This window comes from Homo sapiens, chromosome 2 (genome assembly GCF_000001405.40).
Source record: "Homo sapiens chromosome 2, GRCh38.p14 Primary Assembly".
In the NCBI taxonomy this organism is placed as follows: Eukaryota; Metazoa; Chordata; class Mammalia; order Primates; family Hominidae; genus Homo; species Homo sapiens.
Genome location: NC_000002.12, coordinates 69,993,127 through 70,015,381, shown reverse-complemented (window position 1 = coordinate 70,015,381; position 22,255 = coordinate 69,993,127). Strand labels below are relative to the sequence as shown.

Below are 22,255 nucleotides of genomic sequence, written 5' to 3'. Positions count from 1 at the left end.
TCAAACCCGTGTTGTTCAAGGGTCAGCTGTATATTTACAGTTGTTATATTGTCTTGATAAATTGATCCTCTGTCATTATGTAATGATGTTCTTTGTCTTGTTTTACAGTTTTTACTTAGTCTGTTTTAAGTATAGCTACCCCTGCTCTCTTTGGTTTCCATTTGCCTGAAATGTCTTTTTCTAGCCTTTCACTTTCATTCTATGTGTGTTCTTAAATGTGAAGTTAATCTTCATAGGCCACATATAGTTGGGTCTGTTTTTAAATTTTTGATAGTATCCAACCTAATGGGTGTGAGGTGATAATTCTTTGTGGTTTTGATTTGCATTTCTCTAATGATTAGTGATGTTGAGCATCTTTACATATGATTGTTGGCCATTTGTGTCCCTTCTTTGGAGACTATTCAAAGTCCTTTACCCATTTTAAAAATGAAGGCATTTGCCCTTTGTTGTTGAGTTGTAGGAATTTTAAAAATATATTCTGGATAGTAAATCCTTTTCAGATATAAGATTTGCAAATGTTTTTTCCCATTCTGTGGGTTGTCTTTTCACTCTTTTTCTTTTTCTTTTTTTTTTTTTTTTTTTTTTGAGACAAGGTCTTGCTCTATTATCACTGGAGTACAATGGCGTGAATGTGGCTCACTGCAGTCTCGACCTTCCTGGCTCAAGGGATGCTCCCACCTCAGCCTCCCAAATAGCTGGGACTATAGACACATGTCACCACATCTGGCTAATTTTTTATTTTTTGTAGAGATGAGATTTCACCATATTACCCAGGCTGTTCTTGAACTCCTAGGCTCAAGTGATTTGTCTGCCTCAGCCTCCCAAAGTGTTAGGATTACAGGTGTGAGCCACTGCACCCGGCTGCCTTTTCACTCCTAATTGTATCCTCTGTTGCACAGAAATTTTTAAGTTTGATGTAGTCCCATATGTCTCCTTTTTTTTCCCCATGCTTTTTATGATTTCTAGCATCTTTTTGTGGGCTTATTGTGCTTGTATATCTTCTTTGGAGAAATGTCTGTTCAATTCCTTTGCCCTTTTTTGAATGGGGTTGTTTGGTTTTTCTGTTGTGGAATATTTAAATTTCTCTATGTATCCTCAATGTTAAGCCATACTAGAGATATGCTTTTCAAATATTTTCCCCCATTCTGTGCATCACCTTTTTTACTCTGCTGAAAGTGCTGTTTGATGCAAAAAAGTGTTTAATTTTCATGAGGTCCAATATATCTATTTTTTCTTTTGTTGCCTGTGCCTTGGGTGTTATATTCAAGAAATCATTGACAAATCCAATGATATGCTCTTCTACACTCTTAAAAATTATAGACAACCCCAAATAACTTTTATTTAGTGGTTTTAACAATATTTACCATGTCTGAAATATGATAAACATTAAAATTAGTATTTTGGAAAAATGCCATATTAGAAACTGATGATTTAAAAGTAACAACAATGAATCCATTACATGTGAACATACTGTTTTTTTGTTTGTTTGTTTGTTTGTTTTGAGACGGAGTTTCACTCTTTTGCCCAGGCTGGAGTGCAGTGGTGCGATTGCAGCTCACTGTAGTCTTCGCCTCCCAGGCTCAAGTGATTCTCATGCCTCAGCCTCCTGAGTAGCTGGGATTACAGGTGCTCACCACCACACCCGGCTAATTTTTGTAGAGATGGGGTTTCACCGTATTGGCCAGGCTGGTCTTGAACTCCAGACTTCAAGTGATCCACCCACCTTGGCCTCCCAAAGTGCTGGGATTACGGGCATGAGCCACTGCACCAGGCCAACATACTTTTTATAAAAACAGCTGTCTTCTCTAAAACAACAAAAAAATGTAGATAATAGTAGTATCATTTTATAGTTTTGCAACTCTCTTTAATGTTTGGCTTAATAGAAGATAGTTGGATTCTCGTATCTGTTTTTGTATTCAGTCTGTTGTGTATGTTGTTTTGATTGAAGTAGATGAAGGAAATCCAGCTACATACAGATTTGGAGTTGGAAAAAATAGTATTTTAATAACCTTTTTAGATCATGGTGGATACTCTTCTTTGTTATGTCATCAAAATTAGACAAATGGCAGTTTCTGAAAAATTAGTTGTAATGTGTGTAAAAAATTAGTTGAATCCATATCAGTGAACTCATACTTTTCTATATTAAACTTCATTGCTCTATCTTGCACTTTGAATGGGTCTTTTATTCATGCCTGATTTTGTAACATCATGCATTCGTCATTTTGAAAATGATGGTTCAGTGAATTATTCACATCTTCTAAATGTAGGCACATTTCAGTCTATAATATCAAAAACATATTTGTCAGTGTTACCACTGATTTCATCAGAAAAGTCTTGAGGTGTTAAGAAGTCTTTAGGTATCTACCAGCATGGATACACATTTTCCAAAATTTTAAATCTTCACTTGACAGCTCAAATTTTACAGTTGGCAACAAATACTGTCAGTTGTTTTCTATGAGGTGACAGGTTCACTTAATTCATTTTTGAGAAAATGTTTGCCAAATACCCAAGTCTGAATAATCATAGTTTGTTAGTCATTTTTTTCCTAATAAAAATGATGTTCTATGAAAAAGCAAGTAGTCAGCTTGTAATTCAAACAATCAGGTAAGTGCTTCCAGTACTTAGGTATTCAGCAGAAGTGCTTTGTGTACAGAGTATTAATAAGACATGTATTCAAGGGATAAGTTTTAATAAAATTAATAATTATTACTCTATCATGGACATTTTTACATTAAGTTTGCCTTTCTGTTGAACTGCAAGTACATGGGGGTGAAGACTGTGACTCCTGGTGCAGTTTGGTGCCTCTTCATTGACTTAAGGCTCTAGAAGGCACCAAATACTGTTGCTTTTGCATCATCAGTGCAAATGTCCGCAAAGTGAATGCTGCAGAAAAACTCTTGGTATTATTATAAAAATGATGTTGACCTTGGCCGGGCGCGGTGGCTCACGCCTGTAATCCCAGCACTTTGGGAGGCCGAGGTGGGCGGATCATGAGGTTGGGAGATTGAGACCATTCTGGCGAACACGGTAAAACCCTGTCTCTACTAAAAATACAAAAAATTAGCCGGGCGTGGTGGCGGGTGCCTGTAGTCCCAGCTACTCGGGAGGCTGAGGCAGGAGCATGGCATGAACCCGGGAGGCGGAGCTTGCAGTGAGCCGAGATTGCACTACTGCACTCCACCCTGGGCCACAGAGCGAGACTCATCTCAAAAAAAAAAAAAAATGATGTTGATCTCTTGGATCCCCCGGGAAGGGTCTTGGGGACCCAGGAGTCCAGGGATCATAATTTGAGAGCCATGGCCTATACGACCATGGGTACTAATAGCACATGCCTCCAGCACCCTCCATCAGCCTCCCTCGGCCTCATTTTCCTCAGTTGTAAAGGGAGGCCTGGGCAGGCTCTGTTTCTTCACACTGTTGGACCCTGTTTGCTAGCCCCCGAAGCTGCTTCTCCCTTAGCGGTGATGCTGCTTTCAGCTCCTGCTTTTCCTCCCTCTCTCATGCCTCCCTTTCTCTCCGTGGCTCCTCTTCCCCTCACTCTTTACAGGTTGGCATTCTTCTTGTTTCGTCTCCTCCTCCTTTCCCTGGATGATCTTATTTCCTCCCTGGTCTTTAACCATCACCTGCAGGCTGACAGCTCCCAAATCTCTATCTTCAATCCAGATGTCTGTCCCGGGCTCCAGTTTTGTGGTTCCACCTGAGACCTTTCCACCTATATGCTTTACAGGCAAGTCAAAGTCAGCATGTCTAAACTGGTTTCTTCGTCTTCCCCTACACATTGCTTCCTCTTCCAGAATAGACAGTCTTGGTTAATCCATCATCTGCTCAAATGCTTAAGCCAGAATCCCAGGAGTCCTCCTCCCCTTATCTGGCTCCCTCCCTTCCCTCATCTGCTCACCTGGCCTATCAGTTCTGCCTCCTAAACATTTTCCCAATCTCTCCCTGCTCTCCAGCCCCACCACCACTGCCTCAGCTCAGGCGCTCATCCCTTCTCACCTAAACGATTGCAAGGGTCTTCTCCCTGGCCCCCTGCCCCCTGTTTTCAACCTGTACTCTACAGTTCTGGTTGGAAACCACAAGAGTTATCTTCTCACACTTTTTTTTTTTAACTTTTAATTTAGGTTCAGGGGTACATGTGCAAGTTTGTTATATAGTTAAACTCGTGTCACAGGGGTTTGTTGTACAGATTATTTCATCACTCAGGTACTAAGCCTAGTACCCAAGAGTTATTTTTTTTGCTCCTTTCCCTTTTCCCACACCCCCCACCCTCCACCCTCAAGGAGGTCCCAGTGTGTATTGCTCCCCTCTGTGTTCATGAGTTCTCATCATTTAGCTCCCACTTGTAAGTGAGAACATGTGGTAGTTGGTTTTCTGTTCCTGCATTAGTTTGCTAAGGATAATGTGTTTTTCATTAAGTAAATACATATCGAGTACTTACCATACCAGGCTCTGTGCAGGCTGTGGGAATACAACATAGGACATAACAGATACTGTCCTGACCTCCAGCACTCACAGCATATGAAGGAGGAGAGAAAAGGACAGGGCACAGGTCATTAGGACCCAGTGCAGTGGGGAAAGATGGCAGAGGTGCTTGGGAACCCCTAGAAGTTTTGACTGAGGGCTGAGTCTGAGGGTGTTCAGGGAGCACTTCCTGGAGGAAGCAGCTCTCATGTTCAGACTGCAGCCTGGGTGGGAGTTAACTAAAAGAGATGGGAGTGTTGTGGTGAAAAACGTTACTGGAAAGTTTGATCATTTAATTTCCCTGTTAAATACTTCTCTTGTGAGCTTCACCACTGCCTGCAGGATCAAGTCCAAATTCCTTATCATGAAACACAACCTTTGTGGCCTCGTTGTCTGCCACTCCCCTGTATTCATTGTCATCAGCTTGAACTGCTTTCAGTTCCCCCCAACGCTGCTTGCTCACTCTCTCAGCTCCAGGCCTTTGCACATGCAGTTCCTTGTGCCCTCCACCCTTGCCACGCAAATCCCTACTGCCTATCTATCCAACTGTGAATCACCCCACGTCAGCTGTTCAGGAGACCTTCCTGGCCCCTCCCCTGTAGACTTTGTGGCTCCCTCTCTTGTGCTTCCCACCTGTACACACACCTGGACTCTTGTGCCCTTATCACGTCCTTAGAGCTTTTCCACTTGTGTATCTCCCGTGCCCCTACTTGACAGTGTGGGAACTAGACCCCTGTCTAGTTCACATACCCTCATCCCATGAGCATTTTGGGCATCCCCAGGGTGTGTGACTCTCCTGTGCTAGTGGACAAGGTTAGACAATTACCATTACCTTTTCGTCTTTTCCCCTCCTCCAGCTCTGTGACTTCCCTTTGCCCCTACCACACCCCATGTAGCTATCAGTTTTGCTGGACACGGCCACACCCATCAGGCACCCCATACCTGCTGGGAGTCACGGACACTCCTATAGCAGCAGTGCTGTGGGGCTGCTGGTCCCTGCATTGCCTTATAGAGCCGTGGGGCTTCGCCCTACAGATACATCTAAATTACAAATACCAGTCCAGCCCAGAATCAGTTCTTGCTGTTGAACGCAACTGTCTCTGGGTCAGCTTGTTGTGCCTGTTTTCCTTCTTCCCTTAGAAAGAGTTATTTCCTTCAGAACCTTTCTACCCCTCATGAAAATAGGCTTCCCAAAGGTCTGCCCACCAGCCAACTAGACAGATGTGGCCTGCATTGTCCCCCTGGAGGCAAAGGATGTGTGGGTATTTATTTATTTAAGATAGTAAGTTATGGCCAGGTGTGGTGGCTCACGCCTGTAATCCCAGCACTTTGGGAGGCCGAGGCGGGTGGATCACCTGAAGCCAGGAGTTTGAGACCAGCCTGGCCAACATGGTAAACCCTGCCTCCACTAAAAAATACAAAAATTAGCTGGGCATGGTGGTGCATGCCTGTAATCCCAGCTACTCGGGAGGCTGAGGCAGGAGAATCGCTTGAACCCAGGAGGCGGAGGTTGCAGTGAGCCAAGATCGTGCCACTGCACTCCAGCCTGGGCAACAGAGCAAGACTCCATCTCTAAAATAAATAAATAAATAAATAAATAAATAAATAAGACAATAAATTATATAAGCAGTGCTGAATACAGCTTCATCATTTAAAAATCCAAACAGTTTGGAAATATATAGACAAGTATATAAATGCTCTTCTTGCACCCCTTCCCCCATCCTAAAGCCTACCATACAGGTAGGCACTGTTAATTATTTGGTGGAAATGTTTACACTTTTTGCTTTGCATTTACACATGTGAGTGGCAGGGATAGTATCTGAGAAATTAATTTTTTTCTCTCCTGAATTTTCTCTTTTTCTGCCCTCACATTTATGGAGCTCATTACCTCCAGAGCAGCTTTTCAGGTTAGAAAACTGAATTTATCTTCAGGCATCTCTGGCTTTTGTGTGCTGAAAGCTTAAGCATTTAGGGCAACTCCAGGATTTGCTGAGTGGCTCATCAAAGGATGAGGATTCTCTTGCACAGACTGAATGCCTTGACTGGAAACGATGGAAGAAGGATTTCCTTGGGAGTGGAAAGGACCCCAACCCTTTTAGCCCTGTCCTCCCCAGGCTGGCTGGGGGCAGGACTACAATCCCAGAAGGAGGCAGTCATATGGTAGGGCTAGCCAGGGGTGTCCAGTCTTTTGGCTTCCCTGGGCCACATTGGAAGAAGAAGCATTGTCTGGGCCACACCTAAAATACACTAACACAATAGTTGATGAACTTAAAAAAAAAAAAACACACAAAAACATTTCATAATGTTTTAAGAAAGTTTACAAATTTGCATTGGGCCACATTCAAAGCTGTCCTGGGCTGCATGCGGCCCACAGGCTGTGGGTTGGACAAGGTTGGACTAGGCCGTGAAGACACAGGCAACCTGATCCAAGGTTCCTGGCTGCCTCTGCTGCCAGACCTGGCCTCTGCTGACTTCATCGGCAGCCTCATGCCTGGCACTTCTGAATATTCTGGAGAATTCAGACATACCTGAAATTAAGTTTTCTATTGTCAGGATTGAAGCTTACCATAATCAATGAGTTGAGTTATAGACTAAAATTTGATTTCTTGCACACCTGGATTTGTGAATGGAGATTCGTTCCTATGGCTTGTATTATATTACTCATATTCTGCCACTTAAAAAAATTAATAAGAAATCTTGAAAAATTTTCCACAGCAGCGGAAATGAATGAATGAGATAGATTTATCTCATTCAAAAGATGAATATTATTATTAAAAAAAAAATAGACCGGGCACGGTGGCTCATGCCTATAATCCCAGTACTTTGGGAGGCTGAGGTGGGCAGATCACTTGAGGTCAGGAGTTCAAGACCAGCCTGGCCAACATAGTGAAACCCTGTCGCTACTAAAAATGCAAAAATTAGCCAGGCGTGATGGAGCGTACCTGTAGTCCCAGCTACTCGGGAGACTGAGGCACGAGAATTGCATGAACCCAGGAGGCAGAGGTTGCAGTGAGCTGAGATCACACCACTGCACTCCATCCTGGGTGACAAAGTGAGACTCTTTGTCGCTAAATAAATAAATAAAAATACATACTCATAGTAGGAGACTCAAAACAATATCAAAGGAGAAAGCAAAAGTTCCCTGGTCCTCCAGTCCCACTCCCTAGATATAATGAGCTTCTTGAGGGATCTAGAAACTTTCTGTGCAGTTAAAGTCACATAGCTATTTATACATAGCTCTTTTTATATGCAAATAAGCTCAAATGATATATACTTTTCTGCATGTGTATCATCTATATTATAAAATTTAGCACAATTTTTCTATTATATATATATTCATATTTATTACTTATTATTAAATACGCTCTACTTATTTAAGTAGATATAGTTCTTTTTTTTTTTGAGGCAGGGTTTCGTTCTTGTTGCCCATGCCGGAGTGCAATGGTGCGATCTTGGCTTACCACAACCTGCGCCTCCAGGGTTCAAGCAATTCTGCCTCAGCCTCCCAAGTAGCTGGAATTACAGGCATGCGCCAACACGCCCGGCTCATTTTGTATTTTTTTAAAGTAGAAACGGAGTTTCTCCATGTTGGTTAGGCTGGTCTAGGACTCCTGACCTCAGGTGATCCACCCGCCTCAGCCTCCCAAGGTGCTGGGATTACAGGCGTGAGCAACCTGCGCCCGGCTTAAGTAGATAGCGTTCTACTTCATTTCTTTCAATGGCTACCCAGTATTTCACAGAATGGATATGTCACATGTATTTAACCAATGATTGGCATTTAAATTCCCAGATTTTTAGCTAGCATTTATTGACCACAGACTATGTTGTTGGAATATGGTAAGTTACATAATCTTTGTAGCAGCCCAAGAGATAGGTCCTTTTACTGCCTGTATGTCACAATGAAGGAACTCTGTTGCAAAGAGGTCAATAACTTTCCCAAGATCACATACCTGGTAGGTGGTAGATCTGGGACTTGAACCCAGGCAGCCAGGCCCCAACCCAAGGCTGCACTCTGGATTAGTATGCCACAGCCCCTCTGTAGACCCCGAGCACTTGTGCTGGTATAGCCATAAAATACACTCATAGCAATGTACCTGCTAGGTCAAGGGTATGTGCATTTTACACATTAATAGCGCTAAATGATCAGGATGTTATTTTATGTAAAGGGTAATGGGCTTCTTTTTATGACCAAGTACAGATCCCACTTGCTTCCTGAGAACAGAGGGGCTGCTGATGTTCTTGTACCCTGAGGCTCTATGAAGTAAGGGTGTTCTCTCTGCTTTGGCCAGGGCTTCAGCTCTGAATCCTATCTGGCCCTCTTCCCTCTGGGCTGGACTGGGCTCCCATGAGTCTTGGTGTCCTCTTATGCCCTCTAACCGAGGCCAAGGCCACTGGGTGCTGGAGAAGGCTGCCCCTGTACCCTCTTGGTCTCCTAAGTTTGAAGGTACCTCCCAGCTAGAAGCCACCTAGATCCCATTTTCTTTCCATCTGCAAGAGGGAAGATTTACACCCACCTAAGGAAACAGAATTGGCCTCCTTTGCCTCCTCATTTGCAGCTCCTACACCTAACCGTAGGGGGCCCCACTGTGGGACCTCCAGGCCTTGGTCCTCCCAGACCTTTGCGGAGGTGGGAGGTAAGATTGTGTGTCCTGGCTTCTCTGTGGCTGTGGCTTTTATAGGACTGTATCAGTGGTTCTCAAACAGGGACAGTTTTACCCCCCAGCCCCAGCACAGGACACCTGGCAATGTCTGGAGATATTTTTAGTCGTCACAACTTGGGGTGTATGTGTGTGTGCGCACATGGGCATGGGCATGTGCATGTGCACATATTCTACTGGCATCTAGTGGGTAGAAAGAGGCCAGGATGCTGCCAAACATCCTACAATGCACAGGACAGCCTGGCCACAAAGAATTATCCAGCTCAAAGTGTCAATAGTGCTAACATTGAGAAACCCTGGGCTATCGAAGGGCAGACAGTGCCCAGCACATGGCTCTCCCCCATGGCTCCTGAGTCTCTATGTAAACAGGGGCTGAGGGGTGGGTGGTATCTGGGTTGAAGGGAAGTGGCTTGAAGGTGTATTTACAAAAAGCTTTTTATAAACAATGAGTAGATGCGAATTTCCCTCTCAAAGAACAGGAGAATGGCTAGTGAAGTTTGGGGGTGGGTAGTGGGATAGATTGTCATTCTCTACATGCAGTCACAAGCTATGGAGAAATTAAGGATGTTGAAGACACTACAAAGTTTACTAAATGTGGCTCAGCTATTCTCAAAGAAAAATGCTTGGAATTAAATGCTTTATTATTAAACCAGATAGAATTTAACTGAGCAAGTTGGACACTCAAGAAGCAAGACAACAAAAAATAAGCTGACAAGAAGGAACTGGAGCAAATTAAGATAAAAGAAGTTAATGAATTAGAAAACAAGAAAATCTGTAACTTTAATAAATACATTTAAGACAAATAAAATTGACAATTTGGCATGCGTGTCAAGAAGACAACAGAATTAGATAAAAGTGGATGTAGAAGTGGAACAAAAACATTGATAAAAGAAACCACAGGCTGGGTGCACATGGTGGCTCACTCCTATAAGCCCAGCACTTTGGGAGGCCAAGGTGGGAAGATTGCCTGAGCCCAGGAGTTCAAGACCAGCCTGGGAAACATAGGGAAACCCCGTCTCCACAAAAAGTTTAAAAATTAGCAGAGTATAGTAGCTTGTGCCTGTAGTCCCAGCTACTCAGGAGGCTGAGGTGGGAGGATTGCTTGAGCCCTGGAGGTCCAGGCTGCAATGAGCTGCGATTGCCACTGCACTCCAGCTTGGGAAACAGAATGAGACCCTGACTCAAAATAATAATAATAATAAGAAACCATAGTGGAACCTCTCTGTGTGAGGGTGGCATGGGCTTGAGGGAGGGCGATGGACACTGCAGCATCTTCATGCATTCATTTAACAGCTATTTGCTGAGCACATACCGTGAGCCAGGCACTATTCTAAACACTGGGGGTACAGCATTTAACAAAATAGACAAAAGGCAGTGGCATTCTGAGCCCCAGTGAGCAGGTAACAACAGACGGGGACCAGTGACATCAATTCACCTGAGGCCCAAGGCTGGTTCAAGTGCCTGGAACCAAGATGTTTGTTGATTGAACAAGAAAATGCTGAGGCTTAGGTGAGGAGATAGAGCAGGAGACGAGAAGAGGTTTAACTTCCTTTCAGAAAGTCTAGGTTCAGAGGGAAGAACAGATTCTACCATATAAGAAAATGAATGTTTCTTAATGACTCAGGTAGTCTATCTTCTTACCAAATACTGATGTGTCTGAAGTAGTGTCCTGCCATGAGACCAACTGACTAGCACTCAATTACCCCACTTCTTTTTTTTTTTTTTTTTTTTTTTGAGATGGAGTTTTGCTGTGTTGCCAGGCTGGAGTACAGTGGCACGATCTCAGCTCACTGCAACCTCTGCCTCCTAGGTTCAAGCGATTCCCCTGCCTCAGCCTGCTGAGTAGCTGGGACTACAGGTGTGCGCCACGGCACCTGGCTAATTTTTTGTATTTTAGTAGAGACGGGGTTTTACCATGTTGGCCAGGATGGTCTGGATCTCCTGACCTCGTCATCCGCCCGCCTCGGCCTCCCAAAGTGCTGGGATTACAGGCATGAGCCACCGCGCCTGGCTTACCCCACCTCTTAAAAACAAGGACTCCATCTGGAGTTGGTCCCTATTCCTCTTCTGCTTTTCTATCTCAGACTTTCAGGCTACAGAAAAGAAACCTTTCCTCCAAGAATTGGAGCCTTGGCCAACCCTCACCCTTAGAAGACTCCGTTTGTGGCAGATGGCTCTCCCGTAAGCCAGTGTGGGATTCCTCTCAAACACCCTGTATTAGTCCATTTTGTGCTGCTATTACAGAATACCACAGACTGGGCAATTTATAATGAGCAGAGATTTACTTCCTACAGTTCTAGAGGCTAGGAAGTCCAAGATCGAGGGGCTTTGCTGCGTCAGCCCATGGTGGAAGGTGGAAAGGCGAAAAGAGTGGAAGAGAGAAAAGGGAGCCAAATTTGTCCTTTTGTGAGGAACCCACTCCCATGATAATAGCATTCATTCACTCTGCCCCATGGCCTGATCACTTCTCAGGCCCCACATCCCAGCACTTGCATTGGGAATTAAGTTTCCAACACATGCTTTCTGGGAGAAACATTGAAACCGCAGCACAACCCTCGTTTTAGGCCTCTGGCAGCCGTCATGGCCGGCTGGGCTCTCTCAACACCCAAGGCCCTTGGTGGGCTGCTTGGAGAAGAGCTTCCAAAGGAATGTTCTGTGGCCAGTAGCTGTCTTCCAGCTCAGCTACAGCCACTTCTTTGGCTTCTAAAGCACCTGGGAAGGGACCTTGCTCTCATGCCAGGCTGTGTGGAATCTTTCTTCACAGAGAGAGCAAGAGAGTGCTCAGGGGACTCAAAAGATGACATTTTCAAAAGGCTCCCTCTGCTTTTGTTAACAGTGGCAAACACTTGTGTCCTGTTCACCTTGGGCTGGGCAGTGTTCTACGTGCTTAACATCCATTAACAACCACTCTGTGAGGCAGGTCCTCTATGATCATCCCATTTTACAGATGAGGAAGCTGAGGCACAGAGCTGTGAAGTACCTTGGCCAAGGTCCCCATGATGGAAGTCTGGGCTTGGCCTCCATAAAGCCTCTCACATGTGCTCATGGCAAAGACTTCAGGACTTCTCTCCTCCGTCCACTCCTTCAAGAACCTTGTGAGCACCAGACACATTCACACATACACAAGGAGAAAAAGAGGCAGTTGTCTGGCCTCTTCCTGATTCTGACTCCCTCTCCAGAGGATTTAACTCATTTTTCTACAGAGGATTTAACTGAAGTGAGTGCTGATTGCAGAGATTATCGACAACTATAAACATTTACTTTTTGAATTTGAATGAACAAACCGTCTGTCACCCCTGCAGTGGTCTCTAGGGTTCTTTTGGCCTCTGGGCCTATAAACTGAGCTGGTTGGATAGTAGATTTGCTTGGACTTAAGAGCATACTCTATCACTCAGAAGGACGAGGGGGAGCTGGTGAAGCTGACTTTAAACACCAGGGACATAGGGCTATTCTGATCAGCCCCCCAGTTTAAGAAAGGAGGTACTTTCTCAGAAGAGGCCTCCAACAGCAAAGATGTGAAGTTGTAGATGGAGGGGAAGTGCTCCCTTGGATCAAAGCCAACTTTGCACTAGAGGCAGGAAGAAATGCTATGGGCTCATTAATTACAGGATGCCACAGGATTGGCTTTGCCTCTGGATGTGAGGGCAATAACCTATGCTTTAAACAAGCAGCCCCATCACTCTACAGTAATTAGCAGGACAATAGGCATCTTCATAGAACTAGATTGACAGGTAGCCCACAACATGCAGCCTCAAGCTGGCCTAGAACTGAGCTCTTTCAGATGCCACACCTGTGGGGCCAGCCAGCCCACGAGATCTTGGGCACAGAAGTGACACATTCTTTCTTAGGCTGTTTGCTGTGAACTTGCTATGTAGTAGGCAGTGTGAAGAACACACAAGAAATGTGAGACACAAACCTTACCCAGTCTTACCACAGCAAATTGAGGAGGCAAGATTAAGCTTGAAAAGTTAAAACAGCAGCACAAGAAATAGCATTTATGTCTCATACAAAGGGTATCAATGCTCAGAGCCACAGGGTAGCTCTGGACAGGGAACCCCACCAGGTAGATGGAAAGGTGGGGGTATGGTGGGGTCTGCATTACCTGCGGGGTCTCTGCCAGTGCACACTGCCATGTTTCTTACAAGAGAAGTAGGAAACAGAAAAAGAAAATTAAAAATCATGCTAATATTTGTCAGAGATACACATTGCTATGGTTTTGGTTATATCCTTTAAGATATTTTTTCTGTGCATATATATTTTATTACATAAATGGGTTCATACTGTACGTCTGTTCTATGACTCGCTTTTTATACTTAGCAATACATTGTGAACATTTTTTCTTGTCAATGAAATTTTTATTGATCGCTTATATTTCACTATGAATTTACCATGATTTAACGAATCCCTTCTTATTGCCACTTTAGGTTATTAACAATTGTGTCCATTATATATAATTCTGACTCTGTGCACATCCTTATTATTATTATCATTATTCTTTTTATGAGATGGAGTTTCGCTCTTGCTGCTCAGGCTGGGGTGCAATGGGGAGATCTTGGCTCACTGCAACCTCCATCTCCTGGGCTTAAGCGATTCTCCTGCCTCAGCCTCCTGAGTAGCCAGAGTTACAGGTATGTGCCACCATGCCTGGCTAATGTTTTTGTATTTTTAATAGAGACAGGGTGTCACCATGTTGGTCAGGCTGGTCTTGAACTCCTGACCTCAGATGACCCACCTGCCTCGGCCTCACAAAGTGCTGGGATTATAGGTGTGAACCACCAACCCCAGCCACATCCTTATTTTGATCCCCTTAAGTAGAAGGGGATCTACTGCTTTAGCCTCCCAAGTAGCTGAGATTACAGGCATGCACCACCACATTGGCTAACTTTTGTATTTTTTAGTAGAGACAGGGTTTCACCATGTTGGCCAGGCTTGTCTTGAACTCCTGAGTTCAAGTAATTCATCCTCCTCGGCCTCCCAAAGTGCTGGGATTATAGGCATGGTTTCTGTCTTTATGTCAGTTTCAGAAAGACTTCTGCTACAGAGTTTATATTAATATATTCAAACAAACTATCTCAATACTTTAATTTTTTTTTTTTAATTTAAAAAGTTAAATAGAGTAGATCAAGGAGTATGCACACTTTCAAGGATTTGGTACATATTGTCAAATTGCCTTCCAGGAAGGATGTATCAACTTAGGCTCTTGTCACCAATCCTATGAGAGTGCCTCCTTCACTATGTCCTTCCCAACACTGGGGATTAGCATTTTTGAAAATTTTGCAAATTTGATAAGCAAAAACAAATAGTATATCATTGTTGCTTTAGTTTGCTTTCCTTTTCCTTTTCTCTTTTTATTACTTGGACTCTTTTACAGGCCAGCCGTTGGTAATTCTTTCTGATGAATTATCTGCTTATGTGCTTTATCTAGTTTTCTTTTCTTTTTCTTTCTTTTTTTTTTTTTTTTTTTTTTTTTTTTTGAGGCAGGGTCTTGCTCTGTTGCCCAGGCTGGAGTGCAGTGGCGTGATCACAGCTCACTGCAGCCTCAACCTCCTGGGCTCAGGTGATCCCCCACCTCAGCTTCCCAAGTAACTGGGACTATAGGCGCATGCCACCATAGCCAGCTAGTTTTTGTATTTTAAGTAGAGACAGGGTTTTGCCGTGTTGGCCAGGCTGGTCTCAAGTTCCTGAGCCCAAGCAATCCGCCCACCTCGGCCTCCCAAAGTGTTGGGATTACAGGCGTGAGCCACCGAGCCCAGTCAGTTTTCTGTTTTCTATTGATATATTTCTCCATTTTTCCCACTTCATTTGTGTAGTTTATTATTATTATTTAGTGTGGTATATTATTTTTTTCTTATTTATTTTAAAGATGTATTCAGGCTATTAACTCCTTGTCTGTCATATATTACGTGTGTGTGTGTGTGTGTGTGTGGTTTTTTTTTTTTTTTTTGGAGATGAGGGTTTCACTATGTTGCCGAGGCTGGCCTCAAACATCTGGCCTCAAGTAATACTCCTGCCTTAGCCTGCCCAGTAGCTGGGATTACAGGTGTGAGCCACCTTGCCCAATTCTCATATATTACAAATATTTTATCCTAGATTATCACTTGTCATTTAGTCTTGTTCATTTTTAAAGCATTCATGAATCTAAAATATCCATGTAATCAAGGTAGTCTGTATAGGCTTTCCAAACCATGAGGCTAGAGGTGGCCATGACTCGAAGCAGGGAGGCCAGCAGGGAGGCGGCTCCTGCCAGAGTGCAGATGTGGCAGGATGAGGCCGAAGGTGGGGCAGGGCTAGAGAGGAGGCGAGCGGGGCCAACTCAAGGCAGATGAGAGAGGGGACCAAGATGTGGTGACCTTGGGTGGGAGAGGGAGGAAGGAGGAGGAGCCCGGGGTGACTCACAGGTGCTGACCCGGAGGAGGGCAGGGTGTGAGCAGGTAGAGGATGAGCCAGGATTGGGACTGTAGGAAGGGGAGTGGTGGGGGTGGGGTGCAGAGATCGTGACAATTCCCTTTGGGATTGTTGTGTGGAGGCTCCTGGCCAGATAAGTCACTGGTATTTGGATCACTAGGACTGGGCTGGTTTCTGTCTTTTTTTTTTTTTTTTTTTTTTTGAGACAGAGTCTTGCTCTGTCACTCAGGCTGGAGTGCAGTGGCACGATTTCAGCTCACTGAAACCTCTGCCTCCTGTGTTCAAGTGATTATCCTGCCTTAGCCTGCCGAGTAGCCAGGATTACAGGCATGCCCCCACCACACCGGCTAGTTTTTGTATTTTTGTAGTAGAGACTAGGTTTCACCATGTTGGCCAGTCTTGTGTTGAACTCCTGAGCTCAAGTGATCTGCCCTCCTTGGCCTCCCAAAATACTGGGATTATAGGCATTGTTTCTGTCTTTATATCAGTTTCAGGAATACTTCCGCTGCAGAATTTATATTAATATATTCACACAAATTATCTCAATATTTTAGTGAGTTTTTTTTTTTAATTTGAATCTTAATCTAGCTGGGCACAGTGGTGTGCACCTGGAGTCCCAGCTACCTGGGAGGCGGAGGCAGGAGGAATGCTCAGGCCTAGGAGCTGAAGGCTGTAGTGCGTTGCGATTGCACCTGTGACTAGCCACTGCACTCCAGCCTGGGCTACGTAGTGAAACCCTGTTTCCAAAAAATAAAATAAATATTAATCTAGATGGAATCTGTAGTATTTTTGTGAATTGTGAAAGTTAAGGAGTTAACTCACTGTCATTGACCTCCACCTGGGGCAGCCCCCAGTCCCTGGCCCAGAGACAGTCCTGTGGGCCCTCAGAGTCCCTGTGTCGCTGCTGCTGTTACTGCTATGGCTCTTGGCCTGTGCCCGACTGCTGACTGCCATCAAGCCCACTGTGTTGGGGTTTCCTGTCAGTCATGCCCGGAGCCCTGCCTCTAGCCAGTGCCCTCTCCCAGCCTGGTTTCTTTCGAGCATTTCCTGCGGGTTAGCTCTGGGGATCTTTTCCTAGCCTGTTCTTACCTGTGTTATTGCCAGAAAGAAATCTTTTTTTTTTTTTTTTGAGACGGAGTCTTGCTCTGTCACCCAGGCTGGAGTGCAGTGGCGTGATCTCTGCTCACTGCAAGATCCGCCTCCCGGGTTCACGCCATTCTCCTGCCTCAGCCTCCTGAGTAGCTGGGACTACAGGCGCCCACCACCGTGCCCGGCTAATTTTTTTTTGTATTTTTAGTAGAGACGGGGTTTCACCGTGGTCTCGATCTGACCTCGTGATCCACCCGCCTCAGCCTCCCAAAGTGCTGGGATTACAGGCGTGAGCCACTGCGCCCGGCACCAGAAAGAATTCTTCACAGTTGCTGGCATTTTTATGGCCTTTCCCCAGTTTCTTTAGCAGATGCATATTTTTCTCTGTTTCAGATTTGCTAGGTTCTTTTTTTTTTTAAGTGACTTTTTAAAGGATCTTTTCTTATTGGGGAATGACAAACATAAAGTCACAAATCCTAAGCATACATCTCAGTGAATTTTTACATAGGTATTCACTATGTCCCCACTACCCTGATCAAGAGACTTCTTTTAGCGTTAAGAAGCTATTGGTGGGAGGTTGGGTGGAGAGGGAAATCATAAATGTGTCCCCACACTGCTTTTTTTTTTTTTCTAGAACTATCAGGAAATGGTGTGAGGAGGGGAGCCACATATGAATTTCGGCTTTATAAAGGGGTATGGAGAGCACAGCGGTTAGAAGTCAGGCTGGTCATGAGCTGGTCCTGCCCCTCACTAGCCCTGAGACTTTCTATGCCTCAGTTTCAACAACTGTAAAATGGGAGTAGAATACAGCTCCTGTCTCATAGCATTGTCATGAAGATTACATGAGGCAGTGCACGTAAGTGCACAAAAAATGTCAATTGTTGTTTCTCTTGTTATTAATAACGATGAGGAAGAGGCGGCCGTAACCGTGGTTCTTAACTAGGAGTATGTGTCAGAATCACCTGGGGCACTTTTGCAAAAATACACATGCTTGACCCGGCCAGATCAACTGAGTCAGGATCTAGATTTTAAATGCCTCCCCAGGTCATTCTGTTGCTCATCTGTGGTTCAGTGCCATCGGGCTGGAGGTGGCCATGACTGGAAGCAGGGAAGCCAGCAGGCGGCCCCTGCCAGAGAGCAGGTGTGGCAGGAGGAGGACGCAGCTGGGGCAGGGCTGGCGAGGAGGAGAGCAGAGCTGACTTGAGGCAGACAGGAGAGGTGGCCAAGACATGGTGACTTTGCACAGGGGAGGGAGGAAGGAGGAGAAGCCCGGGGTGACTCACAGGTGCTGACTTGGACAAGTGTGGTGGAGGATGAGCCAGGGTAGGGACTACAGGAAGAGAAGTGGTGGGGGCAGGGCACAGAGATTGTGACAATTCCTTCTGGGCTCCTGGTGAGGATAAGTCAGTATTTAGATCTCTAGGCCTAGGTCGGTACTATGGTTCTGGGAGATGTTGGTGCGGAGGAGATGGATAAAGCCATGGGCTTGGTCATTGAGTAAAATGTAGAGGGCAGAGGAGGGCCAAGTTCACAAGCATCCTCCTCTGCAAAGGCCTGCGTCCATTTTTTTTTTTTTTTTTTAATAGACTGGGTCTTGCTCTGTCACCCAGGCTAGAGTGCAGTGGTGCGATCATAGCTCACTGTAGCTTTCAACTTCTGGGCTTAAGCCATCCTCCTGCCTTAACTTCTCAAAGTGTTGGAACTATAGGCGTGAGCCCCACACCCAGCCTCCTTGTGTGTCCACTTCTTATTCTGCCTTACCTAGAAATAGAGAAGAGCTTGTTTCTCATGCAATAACCCCTGCTGAGGACTGTTGGAAAATAAACTGTCCCCTCATCTGAAGATGAATAATAACTTTGGGTCATTTTCTTTCTTTACAGGTCACAGAATTTTCCACACTCCTTGACAGAGGTGCTTAACCCTTATCCATCAGCATTCTCAGACAGCACCTCCGGTTAGGGACAGTATCTGACCGTCCGACATCCCTGCAGCCCCCATGTGTCACACAGACTCAGCCTCAGGTAGATGGTTTCCGTAGATGGTGGCTTTCTTTGGACCCTTGACATCAACCAGTTACTATTTGGTAAGAACTTAAGTCATTCCAGTGCCTCTCTCAGAAGCATTTGCATTTAGAATTTCAGGTGTCATAGAAGTAATGAAAGACGTTGCATTCCTGAAGGAATGAATAAATTATTCATTTTGTTGTTCTGGAACATCACTGCCCACTAGAATTTACCATGATGATAGTAATGTTCTCTGTGCTGTTCCATGAAGTAGCTACTGGCCACATGTGGCTATTGAACATTTGAGATGTGTCCAGTGTGACTGAGGAACTGGATTTTTTCATTTTAATGAATTAAAATTGAATTTTTTTTTTGAGACAAGGTCTTACTCTGTCACCCACGCTGGAGTGCAGTGCTGTGATCATGGCTCATTGCAGCTTTGACCTCCTGGGCTCACATAATTCTCCCACCTCAGCCTCCCAAGTAGCTGGGACCACAGGTGTGTGCCACCACACCCAGCTAATTGTTTTTTTTTTTTTTTTTTTTTTTTTGAGAGATGGGGGTCTCCCTATATTGCCCAGGCTGGTCTCAAACTCCTGGGCTCAAGCGATCCTCCCTTGGCATCCCAAAGTGCTGGGATTACAGGGGTGAACCTCGACACCCCACCTTAAAATTGTAATTTAAACTGAAAAAAGGAAAACAGGCACTATGAAGTTGTATTCTCTGGGTTGGTGAGAGCTAGGGATGTTATGCTGATACCCCACCTGACTGCTCCACTACCAAGTGCTCCCCAAAGAGATTTGGAATAAAGGAGGAGGAGGCCTTGGTTCTTAACTAAGGATGATTCCAACCATCTGCAAAAGCAGGCATCAAGTAGAAGATTACTTGGCTGTTTCCACATCGAAACCAAATGGGCTTTCTTTCTCCCCCTAACGCTGGCCTCAGCCCTCATTCTGCCTGCATGAGAAGGCGGTGTCTAGTACTGCCCCTCCCAGGCCTCTCCAGGCTTCCTTCTTCCTGCTCTTCCCACCTTGGGACAATTGCCCCTGCCCTCCCTTCTGCCCTGTGTCCCTCTTCCTGCTCCCACCACAGCAAGCCCCACCTCCTCCAAGAAGGCTTCCCAGACTCCTCTGTCCCTTCCAGGTGAGGCTAGTTCTAGGGCCCTGAACAAATTCCATTTGGCTTCCCAACTGAGGGTAAGGTGGCAGGGATGGGTCTTAGGAAGATCAACTGCAGGATGGATGTGAGTGTAACCACTGTATTTCTGACTTCTTCGACCACTGCTTATGGTGAGAAAGATATCTCCTGTCCCAAGCAGGACACACCTCAATGTATGGATACATAGCACTGAAGCAAAAGTTTTTTTTTTTTTTTTTTGAGGCAGAGTCTTGCTCTGTCACCCAGGCTGGAGTGCAGTGGCGTGATCTTGGCTCACTGCAAGCTCCGCCTCCCGGGTTCGCACCATTCTTCTGCCTCAGCCTCCCGAGTAGCTGGGACTACAGGTGCCCGTCACCACGCCTGGCTAATTTTTTTTTTGTATTTTTAGTACAGACGGGGTTTCACTGTGTTAGCCAGGATGGTCTCGATCTCCTGACCTCGTGATCTGCCTGCCTCGGCCTCCCAAAGTGCTGGGATTACAGGTGTGAGCCACTGCACCCGGCCGCAAAAGTTTTGTCAAAACAATATTCACCCTGACTACATGTGATGTGCTTGGATATTATTCTGTTTAATTAATTAATTAATTAATTTATTTATTTATTTTTTGAGACGGAGTCTCGCTCTGTCACCCAGGCCGGAGTGCAGCGGCGCGATCTCGGCTCACTGCAAGCTCCGCCTTCCAGGTTCACGCCATTTTCCTGCCTCAGCCTCCTGAGTAGCTGGGACTACAGGTGCCTGCCACCACGCCCAGCTAATTTTTTTTTTTGTATTTTTAATAGAGACAGGGTTTCACCGTGTTAGCCAGGATGGTCTTGATCTCCTGACCTCATGATCCGCCCTCCTCGGCCTCCCAAAGTGCTGGGATTACAGGCATAAGCCACTGCACCTGTCCTATTCTGTTTATTTTTTTAAAGAGAAAGGCTGGTTGTGACCCACTAAATTGATTTCATGACCCAGTAGCAAGTCACAACCCACCAGGTGAGCAACATAGAGTGAGATCCTGGCTGCATCTTTGCCCCAGCTGTGACAGCCAGCCCTTCCCAACTCAGAGCAGCTCCAAACACAGCCCAGGCTGCCCGTTACTGTACCGCCCACATGCTGCACCCCGGGTTCCTTGAAGAGCTAGCACATGATGAGCTCATCCAAGTGGTCTCCCTGAGGGGCTCTGCTCTTTCCCAGACTCTCACTGCTCCGTTGGTCATGCTGTAAAATGGCCATGGCCACAGATGCTGTGTCAGGAGGTTGAAGTCTATAGAACACACTAGACACGTAAGAGAAGGATGCCAGGTCAGGGCCAGGGACACAGGCTGCACATCTCACCTCTCTTGATCTCATCCCTCTTAATGGGACCTCTCAGGTCTAGGGGTCTCACCAACGCTGCTCATCTAGCAGGGCCACACATAACAAATAGAAGCAGAGCAAGCCCTGGAACTCCTGCCTGACAGTGACACGACGACAGAAACATCTTACCAGTCAGAGGACCATGAGAAATAGATTCAAGGAGCATTCCACGTGCAAGTGAGTCTTGGCCCCATCTGCCTTTGGATTTTAGCCGTGAACTGGAAGGTATTGGAAAGAAGACCCTCAGAAATAGCTTAATCAAAATCCCTGCGTCTGAACCAAGTGCCTTATTTCTCTGTGGGCCTCAAGCTTCGCTGACATCTGTGGAGCACACTGTCCTAACAGGAGTGCTGTCTGATTTCCCAACGCTCTGCAAAACAAACAGCCTGGAAGGGTGGCTGGTGGAAGGTGGTTTTTAGAGAGAGACTTGTAGATAACAGGAAAGTGAAGGCTGTAAGGAAGGTTGTAATTAAACAGCACATGGAAACACAATCACATTATTGTCCCATTCCATAGGGATAATGATGACCACTTCAGTGGGAAAAGGAGAGGTTTTAAGTCATTAGGGACTATGGGCCACCTTTTAGGAAGATTTATTTTCAAAGGTTAAAATAGTGTTTTGGCAATTCAAGTTTCATTTTCAGAAAATGTAATTGATGGGAACCTCAGTGACTCTGGATGAATAAGATGCTGTTGAGTGGCTCTGACTTGGGCCAGCCGTGCTTCTCACAGGACCTTGGAGACCAAGGTCACTGTGATCTCAGGTTCAGGGGGCAAGTCCTCTCCACACAGCCCTAGTTGGCCTCACAGCTGAAAATGTCTCCCTTACTGTTGGACTCCTTTGTTCACCCACATGAGTTTGTGAATAAATCCTTTCCAGTCTGAAAGCTTGCTGACACTTGGAGACAGGTGTGGAGAGAGGACTCTGAGCTGGACACTTCCTGGGGATGGCAGGCCTGGTGGGATGGCCTAAGTAGCCATGGGACAGGACACAGCAACTCAGATGTGGGCTAGGGGTGCAGTTTGTGGAGCAGTGGCGGAGGGGTAGGCAGGTGTGGGCTTGAGGACAAATTCTGCCCTCTTCGCTACGTGGCCTGAGCCAGGGCAGCCCACTTGCCGAGGCAGGGCCGGGTCTCTGTT

General features: G+C 45.5%; 1 protein-coding gene and 1 long non-coding RNA gene across 14 annotated transcripts in view, besides 3 other annotated features; both read left to right on the top strand.

The window, feature by feature from the left end:
- Window positions 1-22,255, top strand: part of ASPRV1 (aspartic peptidase retroviral like 1) — a 154,659-nt gene that overhangs the window by 71,994 nt on the left and 60,410 nt on the right. For all 10 annotated transcript variants that reach the window (NR_170375.1, NR_170376.1, NR_170631.1 and 7 more), the window contains one exon: window positions 18,494-18,696. The gene's annotated coding sequence lies outside the window, so the exon portion shown is untranslated. The remainder of the gene's footprint in view (window positions 1-18,493; window positions 18,697-22,255) is intronic.
- Window positions 1-22,255, top strand: part of PCBP1-AS1 (PCBP1 antisense RNA 1) — a 125,946-nt gene that overhangs the window by 72,827 nt on the left and 30,864 nt on the right. The window contains exons 4-5 of one of the 4 annotated variants that reach the window (NR_183090.1): window positions 18,494-18,696; window positions 21,167-22,002. The exons of 1 other annotated variant lie outside the window; for it this stretch is intronic. This is a non-coding gene — a long non-coding RNA (PCBP1 antisense RNA 1). Of the gene's footprint in view, window positions 1-18,493; window positions 18,697-21,166; window positions 22,003-22,255 lie in introns of those variants that run through there. 2 more of the 4 variants (NR_033872.1, NR_183089.1) reach the window with 2 other exon arrangements.
- Window positions 4,761-4,830: an enhancer, noted in NCBI's record as "active region_15983". NCBI's record gives its function as "activates an Ori minimal core promoter by ATAC-STARR-seq in GM12878 lymphoblastoid cells {active_cell/tissue: GM12878}" and the evidence as "EXISTENCE:reporter gene assay evidence [ECO:0000049][PMID:35858748]".
- Window positions 17,680-17,934: a silencer, noted in NCBI's record as "fragment chr2:70224580-70224834 (GRCh37/hg19 assembly coordinates)". NCBI's record gives its function as "represses an EF-1alpha promoter that drives an FKBP-Casp9 reporter gene in an ReSE screen in phorbol 12-myristate 13-acetate-treated (for megakaryocytic differentiation) K562 erythroleukemia cells {active_cell/tissue: K562(+PMA)}" and the evidence as "EXISTENCE:reporter gene assay evidence [ECO:0000049][PMID:32094911]".
- Window positions 21,716-22,215: an enhancer, noted in NCBI's record as "H3K4me1 hESC enhancer chr2:70220299-70220798 (GRCh37/hg19 assembly coordinates)". NCBI's record gives its function as "activates a minimal SCP1, AML or CMV promoter by ChIP-STARR-seq in primed H9 embryonic stem cells {active_cell/tissue: H9 hESC(primed)}" and the evidence as "EXISTENCE:reporter gene assay evidence [ECO:0000049][PMID:30033119]".